Genomic DNA, 19,503 nt, shown 5'->3' with positions numbered 1-19,503 from the left:
TCAACTTTGTCGAAGATCAGATGGTTGTAGATGTGCAGCATTATTTCTGGGCTCTCCATTCCATGAGTCTGTGTGTCTGTTTTTATACCAGTAACGTGCTGTTATGGTTACTGCAGCCTTGTAGTATAGTTTGAAGTTGGGTAATGTGGTGCCTCCAGCTTTCTGCTTAGGTTCTTTTTGCTTAGGATTATCTTGGCTATTCAGGCTCCTTTTTGGTTCCATATGAATTTTAAAATAGTCTTTTCTAATTGTGTGAAGAATGTCCTTGGTAGTTTGGTAGAAATAGCATTGAATCTGTAAATTGCTCTGGGCAGTATGGCCATTTTCATAATATTCATGCTTCCTATTGAGCATGAAATGTTTTTTCATTTCTTTGTGTCATATCTAATATCTTCATGCAGTCTTTTGTAATTCTCATTGTAGAGATCTTTCACCTCCCTAGTTAGCTGTATTCCTAGGTATTGCATTTCCTTGTGGCTACTGTAAATGAGATTGTGTTCTTGAATTGACTCTCAGCTTGGACATTGTAGGTATGTAGAAATGGTACTGATTTTCGTACATTGATTTTGTATCCTGAAACATTGCTGGAGTTGTTTATCAGAGCTAGTAGCTTTTGGACAGATATTGTGGAGTTTCCTAGGTATACTATCATATCATCTGCAAACAGAGATAGTTTGACTTCCTCTCTTCCTATTTGGATGCCTTTTATTTCTTTCTCTTGCCTGATTGCTCTGGCTAGGACTTCCAGTGCTGTATATGTTGAATAGAGTGGTGAGAGAGGGCATCCTTTTCTTGTTCTGGTTTCAAGGGGAATGCTTCTAACTTTTGCTCAATTCAGTATGATGTTGGCTGTGGGTTTTTCATAGATGGCTCTTAATATTTTGAAGTATGTTTCTTCAGGGCCTAGTTTGTTGAAGGTTTTTTGTTTGTTTTTTTAATACAGAGTCTCACTTTGTTACTCAGGCTGGAGTGCAGTGGCGTGATCTCGGCTCACTGCAACGTCCGCCTCCCGGGTTCAAGTGATTCTCTTGCCTTAGCCTCCCAAGTAGCTGGGACTATAGGCATGGGCCACCACGCGCAGCTAATTTTTGTATTTTTTGTAGAGATGGGGTTTCACCATATTGGCCAGGCTGGTCTCAAACTCCTGACCCCAAGTGATCCACCTGCCTTGGCTTCCCAAAGTGCTGGGATCATAGACGTGAGCCACCACACCCAGCCTGTTGAGGGTTTTTAACGTGAAGCATGTTGAATTTTATTGAAAGCCTTTTCTGTATCTGTTGAAATGATCATGTGGTTTTTGCTTATAGTTCTGTTTATGTGGTAAATCACATTAATTGATTTGTATATATTAAACCAACCTTGCATCCCAGGGATAAAGTCCACTTGATCATGAAGGATTAGCTTTTGGATGTGCAGCCGGATTTGGTTTGCTAGTATTTTGTTAAGGATTTTTGCATCCATGTTCATCATTGATACTGGCCTGAAGCTTTCATTTTTTGTTGTGTCTCTGCCAGGTTTTGGTGTCAGGATGATGCTGGCCTCATAAAATGAGTTAGGGAGGAGTCTCTCTTCCTCAAGCATTTGGAATGGTTTTAGTAGGAACAATACCAGTTCCTCTCTATGCATCTGGTAGAACTCAACTGTGAGCTCATCTGGTCCTGGGCATTGTCTGGTTGGTAGGCTTTTTATTATTCATTCAATTTCACTTTACTATTGGTCTGTTCAGGGATTAAATTTCTTCCTGGTCCAATCTTGGGAGGTTGTATGTTTCCAGAAATTTATTCATTTCTTCTATGTTTTCTAGTTTGTGCATAGAGGTGTTCATAGTAGTCTCTGAGGGTTTTTTGTATTTCTGTGGGTTTGGTGGTAATGTCCCCTTTGTCATTTTTGACTGTGTTTATTTGGAGCTATCTCTCTCTCTTTCTCTCCTGTTTTTTTTTTAAGTCTACTTAGTAGTCTATCAGTCATATTCTTTCAAGGAACTAATTCCTGGACTCAGTCTTTTGTATATTTTTTTATGTCTCAGTTTCCTTCAGTTCAGCTTTGATTTTGGTTATTTCTTGTCTTCTCCTAACTTTGTAATTGGTTTCTTCTTGTTTCTTTAGTTCCTCTAGGTGTGATGTGTGATGTTAGATTGTTAATTTGAGGTCTTTCTAACTTTTTGCTGTGGACATTTAGTGTTATAAACTTTTCTCTTAACACTGCTTAAGCTGTGTCCCAGAGTTTCTGTTACATTGCATCTTTGATCTCATTAGTTTCAAAGAATTGCTTTAATTCTGCCTTTATTTTATTATTTACCCCATAGTCATTCAGGATAGGTTGTTTAATTTCCATTAAATTGTATGCTTTTGAGTGATTTTCTTACTATCAATTTCTATTTTTATTGCACTGGTTCAGTAGTGTGATTGCTATTGTTTTTATTTTTTTTTAATTTGCTAAGGATTGTTTTATGGACAATTATGTGATGGAATTTAGAGTATGTACCATGTACAGATGAGAAGAATATATATTTTGTTGTTTTTGGGTGTAGAGTTCTGTAGATATCTGTCAGGTTCTTTTGGTCTAATATTGAGTTCAGATTTTATCTTTGTTAGTCTTTTGCCTCAGTGATCTAATTCTATCAGTGGGGTGTTGAAGTCTACTATTATTGTGTGGTTATCTTAAGTCTCTTTGTAGATCTCTAAGAACTTGCTATATGAATCCGGGTGCTTTTATGTTTGGTGCATATATTTAGGATAGTTAGGTCTTCTTGTTGAATTGAACCCTTTAGCATTATGTAATGCCCTTCTTTATCTTTTTTTAATCTTTTTGGTTTAAGGTGTGTTTTGTCTGAAGTTAGAATAGCAACCCCTGTTTTGTTCTGTTTTCTGTTGACTTGGTAGATTTTTCTCTGTCCCTTTACTTTTAGCCAGTGGGTGTCATTGCACATGTGATGGTTCTCTTTTTGGCAGCATACAGTTGGGTCTTTCTTCTGTATCTAACTTGCCACTCTGTGCCTTTTAATGGGGGCTTTTAGCCCATTTACATTCAAAGTTTATATTGATAGGTGTGGATTTGATCCAGTCATCGGATTGTTACCTGGTTATTATGCAGACTTGATTGTGTAATTGTTTGTAGGGCTAATGGCCTATGTATTTAAGTGAGTTTTTGTGGTGTCTAGTAATGGTCTTTCCTTTCCATATTTAGCACACCCTTAAGGAGTGTCTATAAGGCAGGTCTCGTGGTGACAAATTCCTAGCATTTGCTCATCTGAAAAGGATTCATTTATGAAGCTTAATCTGGCAGGATATGAAGCTCTTGATTAGAATTTCTTTTCCTTAAGAATGCTGAATATAAACCCCCAATCTCTTCTGGCTTATAGGTTTTCTGCCAAAAGGTACACTGTTAGTCTGTGGGGTTCCCTTTGTAGGTTACCTGTCCCTTTTCTCCAGCTGTCTTTTATTTTGTCTTTTATTTCGACCTTTAAGAATCTGAAGACTATGTGTCTTGGGCATAGTTGTCTTATATAGTATCTCAGAGGCATTCTCTGCATTTCTTATATTTGAATGTTGGCATGTCTAGTGAGGCTGGGGAAATTTTCGCGAATTATATCCTAAAATATGTTTTCCACGTTGCTTGCTTTCTCTCCCTCTTTTTCAGGGACACCAGTGAGATGTAGATGTGGTCTCTTAATGTAATGCCAAATTTTTTAGAGGTTTTGTTTGTTCTTTTTTGAGTCTTTTTAATTTTAGTCTGAGTTATTTTGGGGAACCAGTGTTTGAGCTTTGGGTTTCTTTTCTCCAGTTGGCTAATTCTGATGTTAATACTGGATTGTCTTCTGAAATTCTTAAAGTGAGTTTCTCAGCTCTATCAGATCACTTTGGTTCTTTCTTACAATGGCCATTTCATTTTTCATCTCCCAAATCATTTTATTGTATTCCTTAGAATCCTTTATTGGGTTTCAGCTTTCTCCTGAATCTTGATGATCTTCATTCTTATCCATATTCTGAATTCTGTTTCTGTCATTTTAGTCATTTCAACCTGGTTAAGACCTATTGCTGGGGAACTAGTGTGGTTGTGTGGAGGTGAGAAGACACTGTGGCTTTTTAAATTGGCAGAGTTCTTACACTGGTTCTTTCTCATCTGTATGAGCTGAGCATTCAGTCTTTGAAGTTGCTGTCTTTTGGATGTGTGGTTTTTTTTTTTTTTTTTTTTTGCTTGCTTGCTTGTTTGTTTGTTTTTATCTTCTTTGATGCCCTTGGGGGTTTGATTGTGGTATAAGGTGAGTTTAGTCAACTGACTTTGTTTCCCTTCCTTTGGAGTTGTTGGGGGCCAAGAATGAATACCTGTGCACGGTAGCCCTGTGCTGGATCCCCAGCTTCCTACCCCTTTGGTCCAGCATCTTTGTCCTCCCTTCATCCACTCTGAATGCCTTCCCTCCAAAGATCTGCTTAGAATGCCCCAGGCTTCCTAATGTCCCAGTCTCTTGGTGGCAGCAGATGTTCATCCTGGCTGCAGCTAGTTGGCCATCTTCAGCACTTCCCCAGAGTGGTTTTAAACATCTTCTTGGATGGGTCCTTTCTGGCCATAAGAGTCTGAATTATCTCTACCCATATAGAATCTTAATTTGATTTTGCTCAAAGCAATAACTTTCATAGTTTATAAACAAAAAGTATTCTAGGGGGTAATGGCTTATAATGTTTAAAAGAAAGAAATGAATGGAGGCAGTGAATGATTTCTCATATTATAAAACATGTTAATAGAACAAAGAAGAAATTTGCTTTTGATAATTGTGCTTGAGAAAAATCCAAATGATGTAATATTATTGCATGTTTTGTTGCTTCTGGGTAACAGGTCTGAGTTTTTTATTGTTTCTACTCTGAGATGGGCTAGGTCTCATTTTACTTTTTTTTTTGAGACAGAGTTTCGTTCTTGTCGCCCAGGCTGGAGTGCAATGGCGCGATCTCGGCTCACTGCACCCTGCGCCTCCCGGGTTCAAGCTATTCTTCTGCCTCAGCCTCCCGACTAGCTGGGATTACAGGCACCCGCTACCACGCCCAGCTAATTTTTTGTGTTTTTAGTAGAGACGGGGTTTCACCATGTTGGCCAGGCTGGTCTTGAACTCCTGACCTCAGGTCATCCACCTGCCTCAGCCTTCCAAAGTGCTGGGATTACAGGTGTGAGTCACCATGCCTAGCCCTATTTTACTCTTTTTAATGTTGATATTTTAAATTTTACAAAGTGGTAACAGGCAGTATTAACATGAAATGTGTTTAGTAGTTTTTTCTTTTTTAAATCATGTGGAATTTGAGGTCCAGAAGCCCATAGAGGGCCTGTAATTTGGCTCAGTAATAGTCATTTAGTCATATATAGGGATTATGCTTTTCATCTTAGTTATTGTAAGATTGCAGTAATGTGCTACATTCTGATTAGAAATGGTTAGTAGAGCTACAGTATCCAACTTTCACTACATTTTTTTTCTCTGAATGGAAATAATTGGACTATATTAATAGCCACTTGTTTTATAGGAGCAGAGTCCCCTATCCTTAATGTTTAGTTGCCTTCTAGAAATTATGAAGGTTTAATACTATAAATTAAGGAATAAATTCCTTCCAAATGACCTTGAAAAAAGGTATTAAATTCTGTAGATAATGTATTGGTTAAAATTTGAGACTCTGAAGAAAAATAAAAACACTATTCCAAATGATCTATTTTTTAGGCATTTAAATGGCAGATAGAGTGTGTGTAAAGTGTTTTCAGTTTATTGGAGTGTAGCCAACTAAACTGAATGACCTTTTGCTAATTATTTCTCTCCTGGGCAGGCAAATATCCACTTGGAATTATTGCTTACTTAGGTTTGAGTTAGACCTTTTTTCTTTTTGTAGCCTTCTTGTCACTATGCCCTGGAAAATTCTAGAGAAAGATTGCTGTTAAAAACATAAAGCAAAGAATTGTACTCAGAGCAGCATTTGCAATATCCATATTAATCTGTAAGATAAATTGTTAGGTGAAATGATTTATGGTAATAACTTGGTTTGTGTTAACATAGAGCCACATGAATGTGAACCACCCTAGTTTCCAACGTAAAGATAGACATTTTCATGTAAAATTGAATTAATGTGTCCAAAATATGGAGGAATAAGCTCTTGTAAATTACATCTCTGACAGGTTAGTTTATCTGAAACTCTAAATCTGAGAAAACATTGAAATTTTTCTTGGCAGTAATGAACCTTAGAAAATTAACAGAATTTCTACTTTTGCCCTTGAAGGAATAACTGATATAGTACCTCTCTTCCTGCTGTACACACCTGGAAAGCTGGAGAAAATATATGAAACAACTGCTTGCAGGCATTGGGCATTAGGCAGCGTAGGCCTATGATTCATGAGAAATGGGAAACAAGCAAGGTGAGCCCTGTAGATGCCCCTGATTTCTGCATGGAGAAAATTTCTATACAACAGTCCATGAAAAAGGGAATGTAAGCAGAGCCCAACGGTCCTGCAGAGTTAAAGAGCTAGGAGATTCCCTGAGACTGAGATTGGAATGTATAGGGCTCAGTACTAAGAGAAAGATTGCTACATAGGGAAACATGCAGGTATCTGAATGATGCTTTCTGCAAATCTTTGGCTGAATAGTAATCTCTACACGATTGAGTACGCTGAACAATTCCTCGACCTTATACGTAAGACTAGAATACTATTGAATTCCTTCCCACCAGAGGAAAAAGACTTTGTCGCACACAGGGTACAGTTAGTACTGAGACCCCAGAATAAATATTTTCCATATTAGTAATTAAAACTGAGGAAGTTAAAAATATTTCTTAATTAATAATAGTAATGAACTCCTTACATATTAACATAAATAAGACTCTTAATGAAAAATAATTTTTCAGAACAAAAAAAGTAATGAGAAAGTGGTATTCTCTTAGGTGCATTGCAAACTCTTCAATATCTGTCCATATAAAAGCTGGATTCTTATATCTCCTCCTCCATTTATTCTGTTGCAGTATGTTACTTCTGTTGAAGTATATAAAGAAAATGCCACCAAACAGCTATATAGTTGGTGAAGGGAGGGATATTTTAATAGTCAGATAATTATGGACATTCTTAATTGATAGTACACTGAAATTTGGGAAATGGTGGTTTCTTAAAAGTTTATTGCAATGTAAAACCTGAAACCACTTCAATGAAATTTTAATGTTCTGTTATATTAAAATCCATTGGTCATTTGGAAAATATTGGTTCACTTTGCTATGATATTAACAAAATGTCGATACATTATGTGATATCAATAATTTACTCTGATGGATTTAACAGTTTAACTGTTGAAAAGGTCAGTGAATATGAAGACATAGCAATAAAAACAATGCAAACTGAAGCACACACAGCAAAAATACTGGGAGCTAGAGGCTGGAGAGGGAAGGATGTTGTCTGAACGACTTCTAGGCAAATATAAAATGGTACAATGTATGTCTGATTAGAGCCCCTAAAATAGAGGAGAGAGTGGAAAGGGGGAAATTTTAACGAATAACTCAATGCTAGCCAAATTTGGTGAGAACTATAAACTCACAAATCTAAGAAGTTTCATAACAACAAGCAGGAGTAACTCAGAGGAAACCGCATCAAGGCACATCATTATCAAATTGTTAAAAATCAGTATTAGAAAAGTCTTGAAAGCAGCCAGAGCCAGAGAAACAAAGATACATTTTATATTTTATTTTGTTTTATTTTATATTTTATGTATTTATTTTTTGAGATGGAGCCTAACTCTGTCACCCAGGTTGGAGTGCAGTGGCGTCATCTCGGCTTACAGCAACCACTACCTCCTGAGTTCAAGTGATTCTCCTGCCTCAGCCACCCGAGTAGCTGGGACTACAGACGCATGCCACCATGCCCCAGCTAATTTTTTTGTATTTTTAGTAGAGACAGGGTTTCAGTATGTTGGCTAGGCTGGTCTTGAACTCCTGACCTCAGGTGATCACCTGCCTTGGCCTCCCAAAGTGCTGGGATTACAGGTATGAGCCAACGCGCCTGGCCTACATTCTATATTTTAAAAGAGAGATTTATCAGATGAGTAGGTTGTGAAAATTTTCTCCCATTTTGTAGGTTGCCTGTTCACTCTGATGGTAGTATCTTTTGCTGTGCAGAAGCTCTTTAGTTTAATTAGATCCCATTTGTCAATTTTGGCTTTTGTTGCCATTGCTTTTGGTGTTTTAGACATGAAGTCCTTGCCCATGCCTATGTCCTGAATGGTAATGCCTAGGTTTTCTTCTAGGGTTTTTATGGTTTTAGGTCTAACATTTAAGTCTTTAATCCATCTGGAATTAATTTTTGTATAAGGTGTAAGGAGGGATCCAGTTTCAGCTTTCTACATATGGCTAGCCAGTTTTCCCAGCACCATTTATTAAATAGGGAATCCTTTCTCCATTGCTTGTTTTTCTCAGGTTTGTCAAAGATCAGATAGTTGTAGATATGTGGTGTTATTTCTGAGGGCTCTGTTCTGTTCCATTGATCTATATCTCTGTTTTGGTACCAGTACCATGCTGTTTTGGTTACTGTAGCCTTGTAGTATAGTTTGAAGTCAGGTAGTGTGATGCCTCCAGCTTTGTTCTTTTGGCTTAGGATTGACTTGGCGATGCAGACTCTTTTTTGGTTCCATATGAACTTTAAAGTAGTTTTTTCCAATTCTGTGAAGAAAGTCATTGGTAGCTTGATGGGGATGGCATTGAATCTATAAATTATATTGGGCAGTATGGCCATTTTCACAATATTGATTCTTCCTACCCATGAGCATGGAATGTTCTTCCATTTGTTTGTATCCTCTTTTATTTCACTGAGCAGTGGTTTGTAGTTCTCCTTGAAGAGGTCCTTCACGTCCCTTGTAAGTTGGATTCCTAGGTGTTTTATTCTCTTTGAAGCAATTGTGAATGGGAGTTCACTCATGATTTGGCTCTCTGTTTGTCTGTTATTGGTATATAAGAATGCTTGTGATTTTTGTACATTGATTTTGTATCCTGAGACTTTGCTGAAGTTGCTTATCAGCTTAAGGAGATTTTGGGCTGAGACAATGGGGTTTTCTAGATATACAATCATGTCATCTGCAAACAGGGACAATTTGACTTCCTCTTTTCCTAATTGAATACCCATTATTTCCTTCTCCTGCCTAATTGCCCTGGCCAGAACTTCCAACACTATGTTGAATAGGAGCGGTGAGAGAGGGCATCCCTGTCTTGTGCCAGTTTTCAAAGGGAATGCTTCCAGTTTTTGCCCATTCAGTATGATATTGGTTGTGGGTTTGTCATAGATAGCTCTTACTATTTTGAGATACGTCCCATCAATACCGAATTTATTGAGAGTTTTTAGCATGAAGCGTTGTTGAATTTTGTCAAAGGCTTTTTCTGCATCTACTGAGATAATCATGTGGTTTTTGTCTTTGGTTCTGTTTATATGCTGGATTACATTTATTGATTTGCGTATATTGAACCAGCCTTGCATCCCAGGGATGAAGCCCACTTGATCATGGTGGATAAGCTTTTTGATGTGCTGCTGGATTCGGTTTGCCAGTATTTGATTGAGGATTTTTGCATCAATGTTCATCAAGGATATTGGTCTAAAATTCTCTTTTTTGGTTGTGTCTCTGCCTGGCTTTGGTATCAGGATGATGCTGGCCTCATCAAATGAGTTAGGGAGGATTCCCTCTTTTTCTATTGATTGGAATAGTTTCAGAAGGAATGGTACCAGTTCCTCCTTATACCTCTGGTAGAATTCGGCTGTGAATTCATCTGGTCCTGGACTCTTTTAGGTTGGTAAGCTATTGATTATTGCCTCAATTTCAGAGCCTGTTATTGGTCTATTCAGAGATTCAACTTCTTCCTGGTTTAGTCTTGGGAGGGTGTATGTGTTGAGGAATTTATCCATTTCTTCTAGATTTTCTAGTTTATTTGCACAGAGGTGTTTGTAGTATTCTCTGATGGTAGTTTATATTTCTGTGTGATCGGTGGTGATATCCCCTTTATCATTTTTTATTGCATTTATTTGATTCTTCTCTCTTTTCTTCTTTATTAGTCTTGCTAGCGGTCTATCAATTTTGTTGATCCTTTCAAAAAACCAGCTCCTGGATTCATTAATTTTTTGAAGGGTTTTTTGTGTCTCTATTTCCTTCAGTTCTGCTCTGATTTTAGTTATTTCTTGCCTTCTGCTGGCTTTTGAATGTGTTTGCTTTTGCTTTTCTAGTTCTTTTAATTGTGATGTTAGGGTGTCAATTTTGGATCTTTCCAGCTTTCTCTTGTGGGCATTTAGTGCTATAAATTTCCCTCTACATACTGCTTTGAATGTGTCCCAGAGATTCTGGTATGTTGTGTCTTTGTTCTCGTTGGTTTCAAACAACATCTTTATTTCTGCCTTCATTTCGTTAGGTACCCAGTAGTCATTCAGGAGCAGGTTGTTCAGTTTCCATGTAGTTGAGCAGTTTTAAATGAGTTTCTTAATCCTGAGTTCTAGTTTGATTGCACCGTGGTCTGAGAGACAGTTTGTTATAATTTCTGTTCTTTTACATTTGCAGAGGAGAGCTTTACTTCCATCTATGTGGTCAATTTTGGAATAAGTGTGTTGTGGTGCTGAAAAAAATGTATGTTCTGTTGATTTGGGGTGGAGAGTTCTGTAGATGTCTCTTAGGTCTGCTTGGTGCAGAGCTGAGTTCAATTCCTGGGTATCGTTGTTGACTTTCTGTCTCGTTGATCTGTCTAATGTTGACAGTGGGGTGTTAAAGTCTCCCATTATTAATGTGTGGGAGTCTAAGTCTCTTTGTAGGTCACTCAGGACTTGCTTTATGAATCTGGGTGCTCCTGTATTGGGTGCATATATATTTAGGATAGTTAGCTCTTCTTGTTGAATTGATCCCTTTACCAGTATGCAACCTACTCATCTGACAAAGAGCAACCTACTCATCTGACAAAGGGCGAGTATCCAGAATCTACAGTGAACTCAAACAAATTTACAAGAAAAAAACAAACAACCCCATCAAAAAGTGGGTGAAGAACATGAACAGACACTTCTCAAAAGAAGATATTTATGCAGCCAAAAAACACATGAAAAAATGCTCATCATCACTGGCTACCAGAAAAATGCAAATCAAAACCACAATGAGTTACCATCTCACACCAGTTAGAATGACGATCATTAAAAAGTCAGGAAACAACAGGTGCTGGAGAGGATGTGGAGAAATAGGAACACTTTTACACTGTTGGTGTGACTGTAAACTAGTTCAACCATTGTGGAAGTCAGTGTGGCAATTCCTCAGGGATCTAGAACTAGAAATACCATTTGACCCAGCCATCCCATTACTGGGTATATATGCAAAGGACTATAAATCATGCTGCTATAAAGACACATGCACACGTATGTTTATTGCGGCACTATTCACAATAGCAAAGACTTGGAACCAACCCAAATGTCCAACAATGATAAACTGGATTAAGAAAATGTGGCACATATACACCATGGAATACTATGCAGCCATAAAAAATGATGAGTTCATGTCCTTTGTAGGGACATGGATGAAATTGGAAACCATCATTCTCAGTAAACTATCACAAGAACAAAAAACCAAACACTGCATATTCTCACTCATAGGTGGGAATTGAACAATGAGAACACTTGGACACAGGAAGGGGAACATCACACTCTGGGGACTGTTGTGGGGTGGGGGGGAGGGGGGAGGGATAACTTTAGGAGATATACCTAATGCTAAATGACGAGTTAATGGGTGCAGCACACCAGCATGGCACATGTATACATATGTAACTAACCTGCACATTGTGCACATGTACCCTAAAACTTAAAGTATAATAATAATTTTAAAAAAATTAAAATAAAAGAGAGATTTAAGAATAATAAATACACAGCACTTTGGGAGGCTGAGGCGGGCAGATCATGAGGTCGGGAGATTGAGACCATCCTGGCTAACACAGTGAAACCCCGTCTCTACTAAAATCACAAAAAATTAGCTGGACGTGGTGGCTGGTGCCTGTAGTCCCAGCTACTCGGAAGGCTGAGGCAGGAGAATGGTGTGAACCTACGAGGCAGAGCTTGCAGAGAGCCGAGATCGCACCACTGCACTCTAGCCTGGGCAACAGAGCAAGACTCCATCTCAAAATAATAACAATAATAATAATAAAAAATACAGACTTCTATCAGAAGCAGCGCACACCAGGAGGCAATGCAGTAAGTGTTGAAGAAATAAAATTTTCACCTAGAATGCTATATTGAACAAAATAATCTTTCAGAAATGAAGACTGGAGATAGTTTTCAGATAAAAGCTATAAGAGATGTTAAAGTAAGCACCCAGGCAGCCTGAAAGAAAACGATAACAGATGGAAGATTAAGTTAATACAGAGAAATGAAGAGCACTAGAAATTGTAAATATTTGGTTACACATTTTTTAAAAACCTTTTCTGTATTTTTAAATTTATTTAAATGAGAATTGACATTTAAAAGTAGAAATTATAGCAATGTATTATAGCATTTGTAAAATGTGTACAAGTACAGGTATGACAACAATAACATGAAGAATAGGAAAGGGAACTAGAAGTATTCTGTCGTAAGACAGATTTCTGTCTGATTTGAAGGTAGTCTTTGTTGAGTTAAAAATGTATGTTGTGCTGGGCGTGGTGGCTTATGCCTTTAATCCCAGCATTTTGGGAGGCCGAGGCAGGTGGATCACTTGAGGTCAGGAGTTTGAGACCATCCTTGCCAACATGGTGAAACCCTGTCTCTACTAAAAATACAAAAGTTAGGCCAGACATGGTGGCTCACTCTTCTAATCCCAGCACTTTGGGAGGCCAAGGTGGGTAGATCACTTGAGGTCAGGAGTTTGAGACCAGCCTGGCCAATATAGCAAAACATCGTCTCTACTAAAAATACAAAAATTAGCTGGACATGGTAGCATGTGCTGGTAATTTCAGCTACTCGGGAGGCTGAGGCACGAGAATCAGTTGAATGTCAGAGGCAGAGGTTGCAGTGAGCTGAGCTCATGCCACTGCACTCCAGCCTGGGTGTCAGAGTGAGACTACATTAAAAAAAAAATTATGTTGTAAACTTTAGAGCAATCACTGAAACCGTGAATACACATAATGGTCATTAAGCTCAGTGTTGAGATGAAATAGAGTACTTAAAAAATACTCAAAAATCCCCAATGAAGAAAAGAAGATGATAAATGAAATAGATAAGACCAATAGAAAAGAAATAAGACCATATAAATAATTATAATACATATAAATGATCTCATGTTATAATAAAAGGTAGAGATTGTTACACTGAATAAAAAAGGGAAACCCGTTTGTATGATATATACAGGAAACCTGCTTTATAAAGTATAGAAATTGAATAAAAACTAAAAATGAAAAGAACTGGAAAATATGTATGAAAATTGTAATCATAACCTGAAGGATCTATGTTAGTATGGGATGAGCTAGACTCTGGACAAAGAATATTATGAAGGACAGATGGGGACATTTCATAATAATGAAACTGTAGATTCATCAAGAAGACATAAGTATCCTAACTGTGTATATATCTAATAACAGAGTTTGAAATATTTAAAATCAAAAACTGGTAGAATTGAAGTAAGAAATGGACAAATCCAAACTGACAGAACTGAAGTAAGGAATGGATAAATTCACAATTGGAGATTATAACACTCCTGTCTCATTATAATGTTCAGAACAACAGACAAAAAATCTGAACAGCATAGAAACCAATTTGACTTACTTAAAATGTATATAATACTCCTCATTATAACAGCAAAAGACATGTTCTTTTCTTGGGCAGTTGATCATTAAGGTAGAACATATGCTCAGTCACAAAACAAATTTAAAATTGTTTAAATTAAGTGACAAGTGTTCTGGCAACAATGGAATTAAGTTAGAAATCACAAGAATTTGGAATATCCCTGTATATTTGGAAATTAAACAACATATTCCTAAATAAACCATAGGTCAAAGAAGAAATCACAAGGGAAAGTAGAAAATATTTTGAACTGAATTGTGATGAAAACATGATGATATGGTTTGGCTGTGTCCCTTCCAAATCTCATCTTGAATTCCCACAGGGAGGGACCTGATGGGAGGTAATTGAGTTATGGGGGCAGGTCTTTCCCATGCTGTTCTCGTGATAGTGAATAAGTCTCATGAGATCTGATGATTTTATAAGGAGGAGTTTCCCTGCACAAGCTCTCTCTCTTTGCCTGCTGCCATCCATGTAAGATGTGACTTGCTCCACCTTGCCTTCCAGCATGATTGTGAGGCCTCCCCAACCATGTGGAACTATAAGTCCGTTAAACCCTTTCTTCTGTATAAATTACCCAGTCTCAGGTATGTCTTTATCAGCAGCGTGAAAATGGACTAATACAGTAAATTGGTACTGAGAGTGGGGCACTGCTGAAAAGATACCTGAAAATGTGGAAGTGACTTTGGAACTGGGTAACACGCAGAGTTTGGAATAGTTTGGAGGGCTATGAAGAAGACAGAAAAATGCAGGAAAGTTTGGAACCTCCTGGAGACTTGTTGAATGGCTTTGCTCAAAATGCTGATAGCGATATGGACAATAAAGTTCAGGCTTAGGTGGTCTTAGATGGAGATGAAGAACTTGTTGGGAAATGGAGCAGAGGTGACTCTTGTTGTGTTTTAGCAAAGATGCTGGCAGCATTTTGCCTCTGCCCTAGAGATTTGTAGAACTTTGAACTTGAGGAGATGATTTAGGGTATTTGGCAGAAGAAATTTCTAAGCAGCAAAGTGTTCAAGAGGTGACTTGGGTGCTGTTAAAGGCATTCAGTTTTATAAGGGAAGCAGAGCATGTAAGTTCAGAAAATTTGTAGCCTGACAATGTGATAGAAAAGAAAATCCCATTTTCTGAGGAGAATTTAAGCCAGCTGCAGAAATTTGCATAAGTAATAAGGAGCCAAATGTTAATCCCCAAGACAATGGGGAAAATGTCTCCAGGGCGTGTCAGAGGTCTTCACAGCAGGCCCTCCCATGACAGACCCAGAGGCCTAGAAAGAAAAAGTGGTTTCGTGGGCTGGACCCAGGGTCCCTGTGCTGTGTGCAGCCTAGGGACTTGGTGCCTTGCATCCCAGCTGCTGCAGCTGTGGCTGAAAGGAGTCAATGCAGAGCTTGGGCTGTGGCTTCAGAGGGTACAAGCTCCAAGCCTTGGCAGCTTCCATGTGGTGTTGAGCCTGCAAGTGCACAGAAGTCAAGAATTGAGGTTTGGGAACCTCTGCCTATATTTCAGAAGATGTGTAGAAGTGCCTGGATGCCCAGGCAGAAGCTTGCTGTGGGGGTGGGGCACTCCTGGAGGGCCTCTGCTAGGGCAGCGCAAAAGGGAAATGTGGGGTCAGAGCCCCCACACAGAGTCCCTACTGGGCACCGCTTAGTGGAGATGTGAGAAGACAGCCACTGTTCTCCAGACCCCAGAATGGTAGATCCACGGACAGCTTGCACCGTGAACCTGGAAAAGCCACAGACACTCAGTGCCAGCCCTTGAAAGCAGCCAGGAGGTATGCTATACCCTGCAAAGCCACAAGGGCGGAGCTGCCCAAGGCCATGGGAGGCCACCTCTTGCATCAATGTGACCTAGATGTGAGACTTGGAGTCAAAGGAGATCATTTTGGAGCTTTAAGATTTGACTGCCCTGCTGGATTTTGGACTTTCATGGAGCCTTTAGCCCTTCATTTTGGCCAGTTTCTTCCCTTTGGAATGGGTGTATTTATCCAATGCCGGTACCCCCATTGTATCTAGGAAGTAACTAACTTGCTTTTGATTTTACAGGCTCGTAGGTCGAAGGGACTTGCCTTGTCTCAGATTTGGACTGTGGACTTTTGAGTTAATGGTGAAATGAGTTAAGACTTTGGGGGACTGTTGGGAAGGCATGATTGGTTGGAAATGTGAGGACATGAGATTTTGGAGGGGCCAGGGGCAGAATGATATGGTTTGGCTGTGTCCCCACCCAAATCTCATCTTGAATTCCCACGTGTTGTGGGAGGGACCTTGTGGGAGGTAATTGAGTCATGGGGGTGGGTCTTTCCCATGCTGTTCTCATGATAGTGAGCAAGTCTTATCAGATCTGATGGTTTTGTAAGGAGGAGTTTCCCTACACAACCTCTCTCTGCTTGCTGCCATTCATGTAAGATGTGACTTGCTCCTCCTTGCCTTCCACCATGATTATAGGGCCTCCCCAACCATTTGGAACTGTAAGTCCATTAAACCTCTTTCTTTTGTAAATTGCCCAATCTCAGGTATATCTTTATCAGCAGTGTGAAAATGGACTAATACACATGGCATATCAGCATTTGTTTGATACTGAGAAATTGGTATTGAGAGGGAAACTTATGGTTCAAATGCTTAATTACAGATAAAGAAAGTTGTAAAAGCAAGGACTAAAGCTTCCATCTAAGAAGTAGGAAAAGTCCATTTCATTTCCAGCCAGTATGGAATAACAGGAATCAGATTTACTGTCATTCCTATTACAACTAAAAACCACCCAAAAGGCTTAGTGGGAACAAAATTGGTAATAGTGTCTGTTCCTACCAGCTAGATTGGAAAACCTCATAATTCATGTGGCTTTGGTTACACTACTCAGAAGGATCTTTCCTCAGTGGTGGAGAGTACTAGTACAAGATTAAATACTGCTTGGGCAATGCTGACTAACAAATCTTAAAAGCAAAACACAAAAGGATTAAATTGTGTCTAAGTAACATAACTGCATCCCAAAATTAAGCTCAGGAATATTTATAGGATTACAAAAATATCCAGCACTTAACAAGATAAAATTTACAATGTCAGGCATCCAATAAAAAATTACCAGGCACGCAAAGATGTAGAAAAACCTGGCCCATAATGAGGAGAGAAATTGATCAATCATAACCAACCCAGGTCTAACCTAGATGTTAGAATGAGCAGATAGGCTGGGCACAGTGGTTCACGTCTGTAATCCCAGCAGTTTGGGAGGCCAAGGTGGGCGTATCACGAGATCAGGAGATCGAGACCAGCCTGGCCAACGTGTTGAAACCCCGTCTCTGCCAAAAATACAAAAATTAGCTGAGCATGGTGGCGTACCCCTGTAATCCCAGCTACTCAGGAGACTGAGGCAAGAGAATTGCTTGAATCCTGGAGGCAGAGGTTGCAGTGAGCCGAGATCGCACCACTACACTCCAGGCTGGGCTACTAAGCGAGACTATGTCTCAAAAAAAAAAAAAAAAAAGAACAGATAATGACATTAGAGCAGTTATTATTAACTGTATTACCTGTGTTCAAAAAGAGAGAGGGAAGGTTTAAAATAAGGCATTGGAAATGTAGAAATGACCCAGTTGAACAACTAGAGTTGAAGACTGTGATGTCTGAAGTGAAAAGCCACCAGATGAGATTAACAGCAGATCTGACATTGAAGAAAATACTGGTAAACTTGAAGACATTGCAATGGAAGCCACTTTGTAAAACACTTTGGTAGTTTCTACATAGGTTCTCAAGAGAAATGGAGGCATATGTCCACCAAAGACGTGTACATTATTGTTTATAGCAACTTTCTTTGTAATAGCTCCAAACAGGAAACAACCCCAAATGTACATAAACCAAATTGTTGTATATGCATACAGTGGTATACTTATTAATAAAAGGAGTGGGCTATTGTTACCTGCAATGATATGGAAAAATCTCAGTTCATTTTGAGTGAAAGAATCCAGAATACATTCTGCAATTCCATTATGTAAAATTCTAGAAAATTCAAACTAAGGCACAGTCATAGAAATCAAATTAGTGGTTCTCTAGGGAAGAGGTTGGGGATGGTATGGTGGAATTACCAAGGGGCACATGGAAACCATTGAGGGTGATGGATAAATTCATAACATTGATTAAGGTGGTGATTTCATTGTTGGATTCAATTGTTTAAACTTATTAAATTTAGATTTCAAATATGTGCAGTTTATTTTACGTTAAACACATCTTAATGAAGCCGTTAAGACCTTTTGAAGAGGATGATGGTTGGGTGCAGTGGCTCACACCTGTAATCCCAGCACTTTGGGAGGCTGAGGCAGGTGGAACACTTCAGGTCAGGAGTTCGAGACCAGCCTGGCCAACATGGTGAAACCCCATCTCTACTGAAAAATACAAAAATTAGCCAGGTGTGGCGGTGTGTACCTGTAGTCCCAGCTACACTGGAGGCTGAGGCGGGAGAATCACTTGAACCCGGGAGGCGGAGGCTGCAGTGAGTTGAGATCACCCCACTGCACTCCAGCCTGGGTGACAAAATGAGACTGTCTCAAAAAAACAAAACAAAACCAAAAAAATGAGCAAATCAAACCCAAAGTAAGTACAGAAGCATAATAATATGTATAAGAGCAGAAAACAGTAAGTGGAAAATGGATAAGTAGTAGAGAAAATGAACAAAACCTAAAGCTGTTTTTTAAAAAGATTAATAAAACTGATAATTATTTTGCTAGTGTGAAAAACAAGAACAGAAGAGAAAACACAAGTTATTCATATTGGGAATGAAAGAAGCGCCTACGTACATTACATGGACTATAAGGTGATATTAAGAACAAACTTATGCTGGTAAATTTACATGAAACTCTAAAAGGTTAGAAAAATTATTTTAAAGGTACAAGTTACCACATTCACAGAAGTAAAAAATTTGAATAGCTGTACATCAAATATATAAATTGAATTGTCAATCAAAACCTTCCCACAAAAAGGGCCTGGCATGGTGGCTCACACCTGTAATCCTAGCACTTTGGGGAGGCCAAGGTGGGCAGCTCCCCTGAGGTCAGGAGTTCGAGACCAGCCTGGCCAACAGGACGAGACCCCCGTCTCTACTAAAAATGCAAAAGTTAGCTGGGTGTGGTGGCACGCGCCTGTAGTCCCAACTACTCAAGAGGCTGAGGCAGGAGAATCGCTTGAACCTGGGAGGCGGAGGTTGCAGTGAGCCAAGATAGTGCCACTGCACTCCAGCCTGGGCAATAGAGTGAGACTGTGTCTCAAAAAACAAAAACAAAAACAAAACCTTCCCACAAAGAAAACCTGAAACGCTAGATGGCTTTTCTGGTGAATTCTGTCTAATATTTAAGGAAGAACTATTACCAGTCCTTCGCAAAAAAGAGAGAGATGAAACATTGCCTCATTTATTTTATGAAGCTAGCATTACCCTAATACCAAAATTAGATAGAGATTTTTACAGGAAAATATTTCTTATAACTATGGAGGGAGAAATCCTTTACAAAATAGTTGCAAACTGAATTCAGTAAAATATAATAAAATGTATAAATACGTTTATAGTATACATCATAGCCAAGTAGGCCATGTGGCTTGTTTACAAAAACATAGTAGGCTGGGTGCAGTGGCTCACGCCTGTAATCCCAGCACTTTGGGAGGCTGAGGTGGGTGGATCATGAGGTCAGGAGTTCAAGACCAGTCTGGCCAACGTGGTGAAACCCTGTTTCTACTAAAAATACAAAAATTTGTCAGGCGTGGTGGCACGTGCCTG

At 38.9% G+C, this 19,503-nt stretch overlaps 1 protein-coding gene across 5 annotated transcripts in view; it reads left to right on the top strand.

Annotated features, from left to right (window-relative positions):
• FAF1 (Fas associated factor 1) overlaps nt 1–19,503 on the top strand; it is a 523,240-nt gene that overhangs the window by 189,281 nt on the left and 314,456 nt on the right. The window lies entirely within an intron of this gene.

This window comes from Homo sapiens, chromosome 1 (assembly GCF_000001405.40).
Source record: "Homo sapiens chromosome 1, GRCh38.p14 Primary Assembly".
Taxonomy (NCBI): domain Eukaryota; kingdom Metazoa; phylum Chordata; class Mammalia; order Primates; family Hominidae; genus Homo; species Homo sapiens.
Note: the sequence above shows the minus strand (reverse complement) of the source record. Positions and strands in the feature narration are given on the sequence as shown.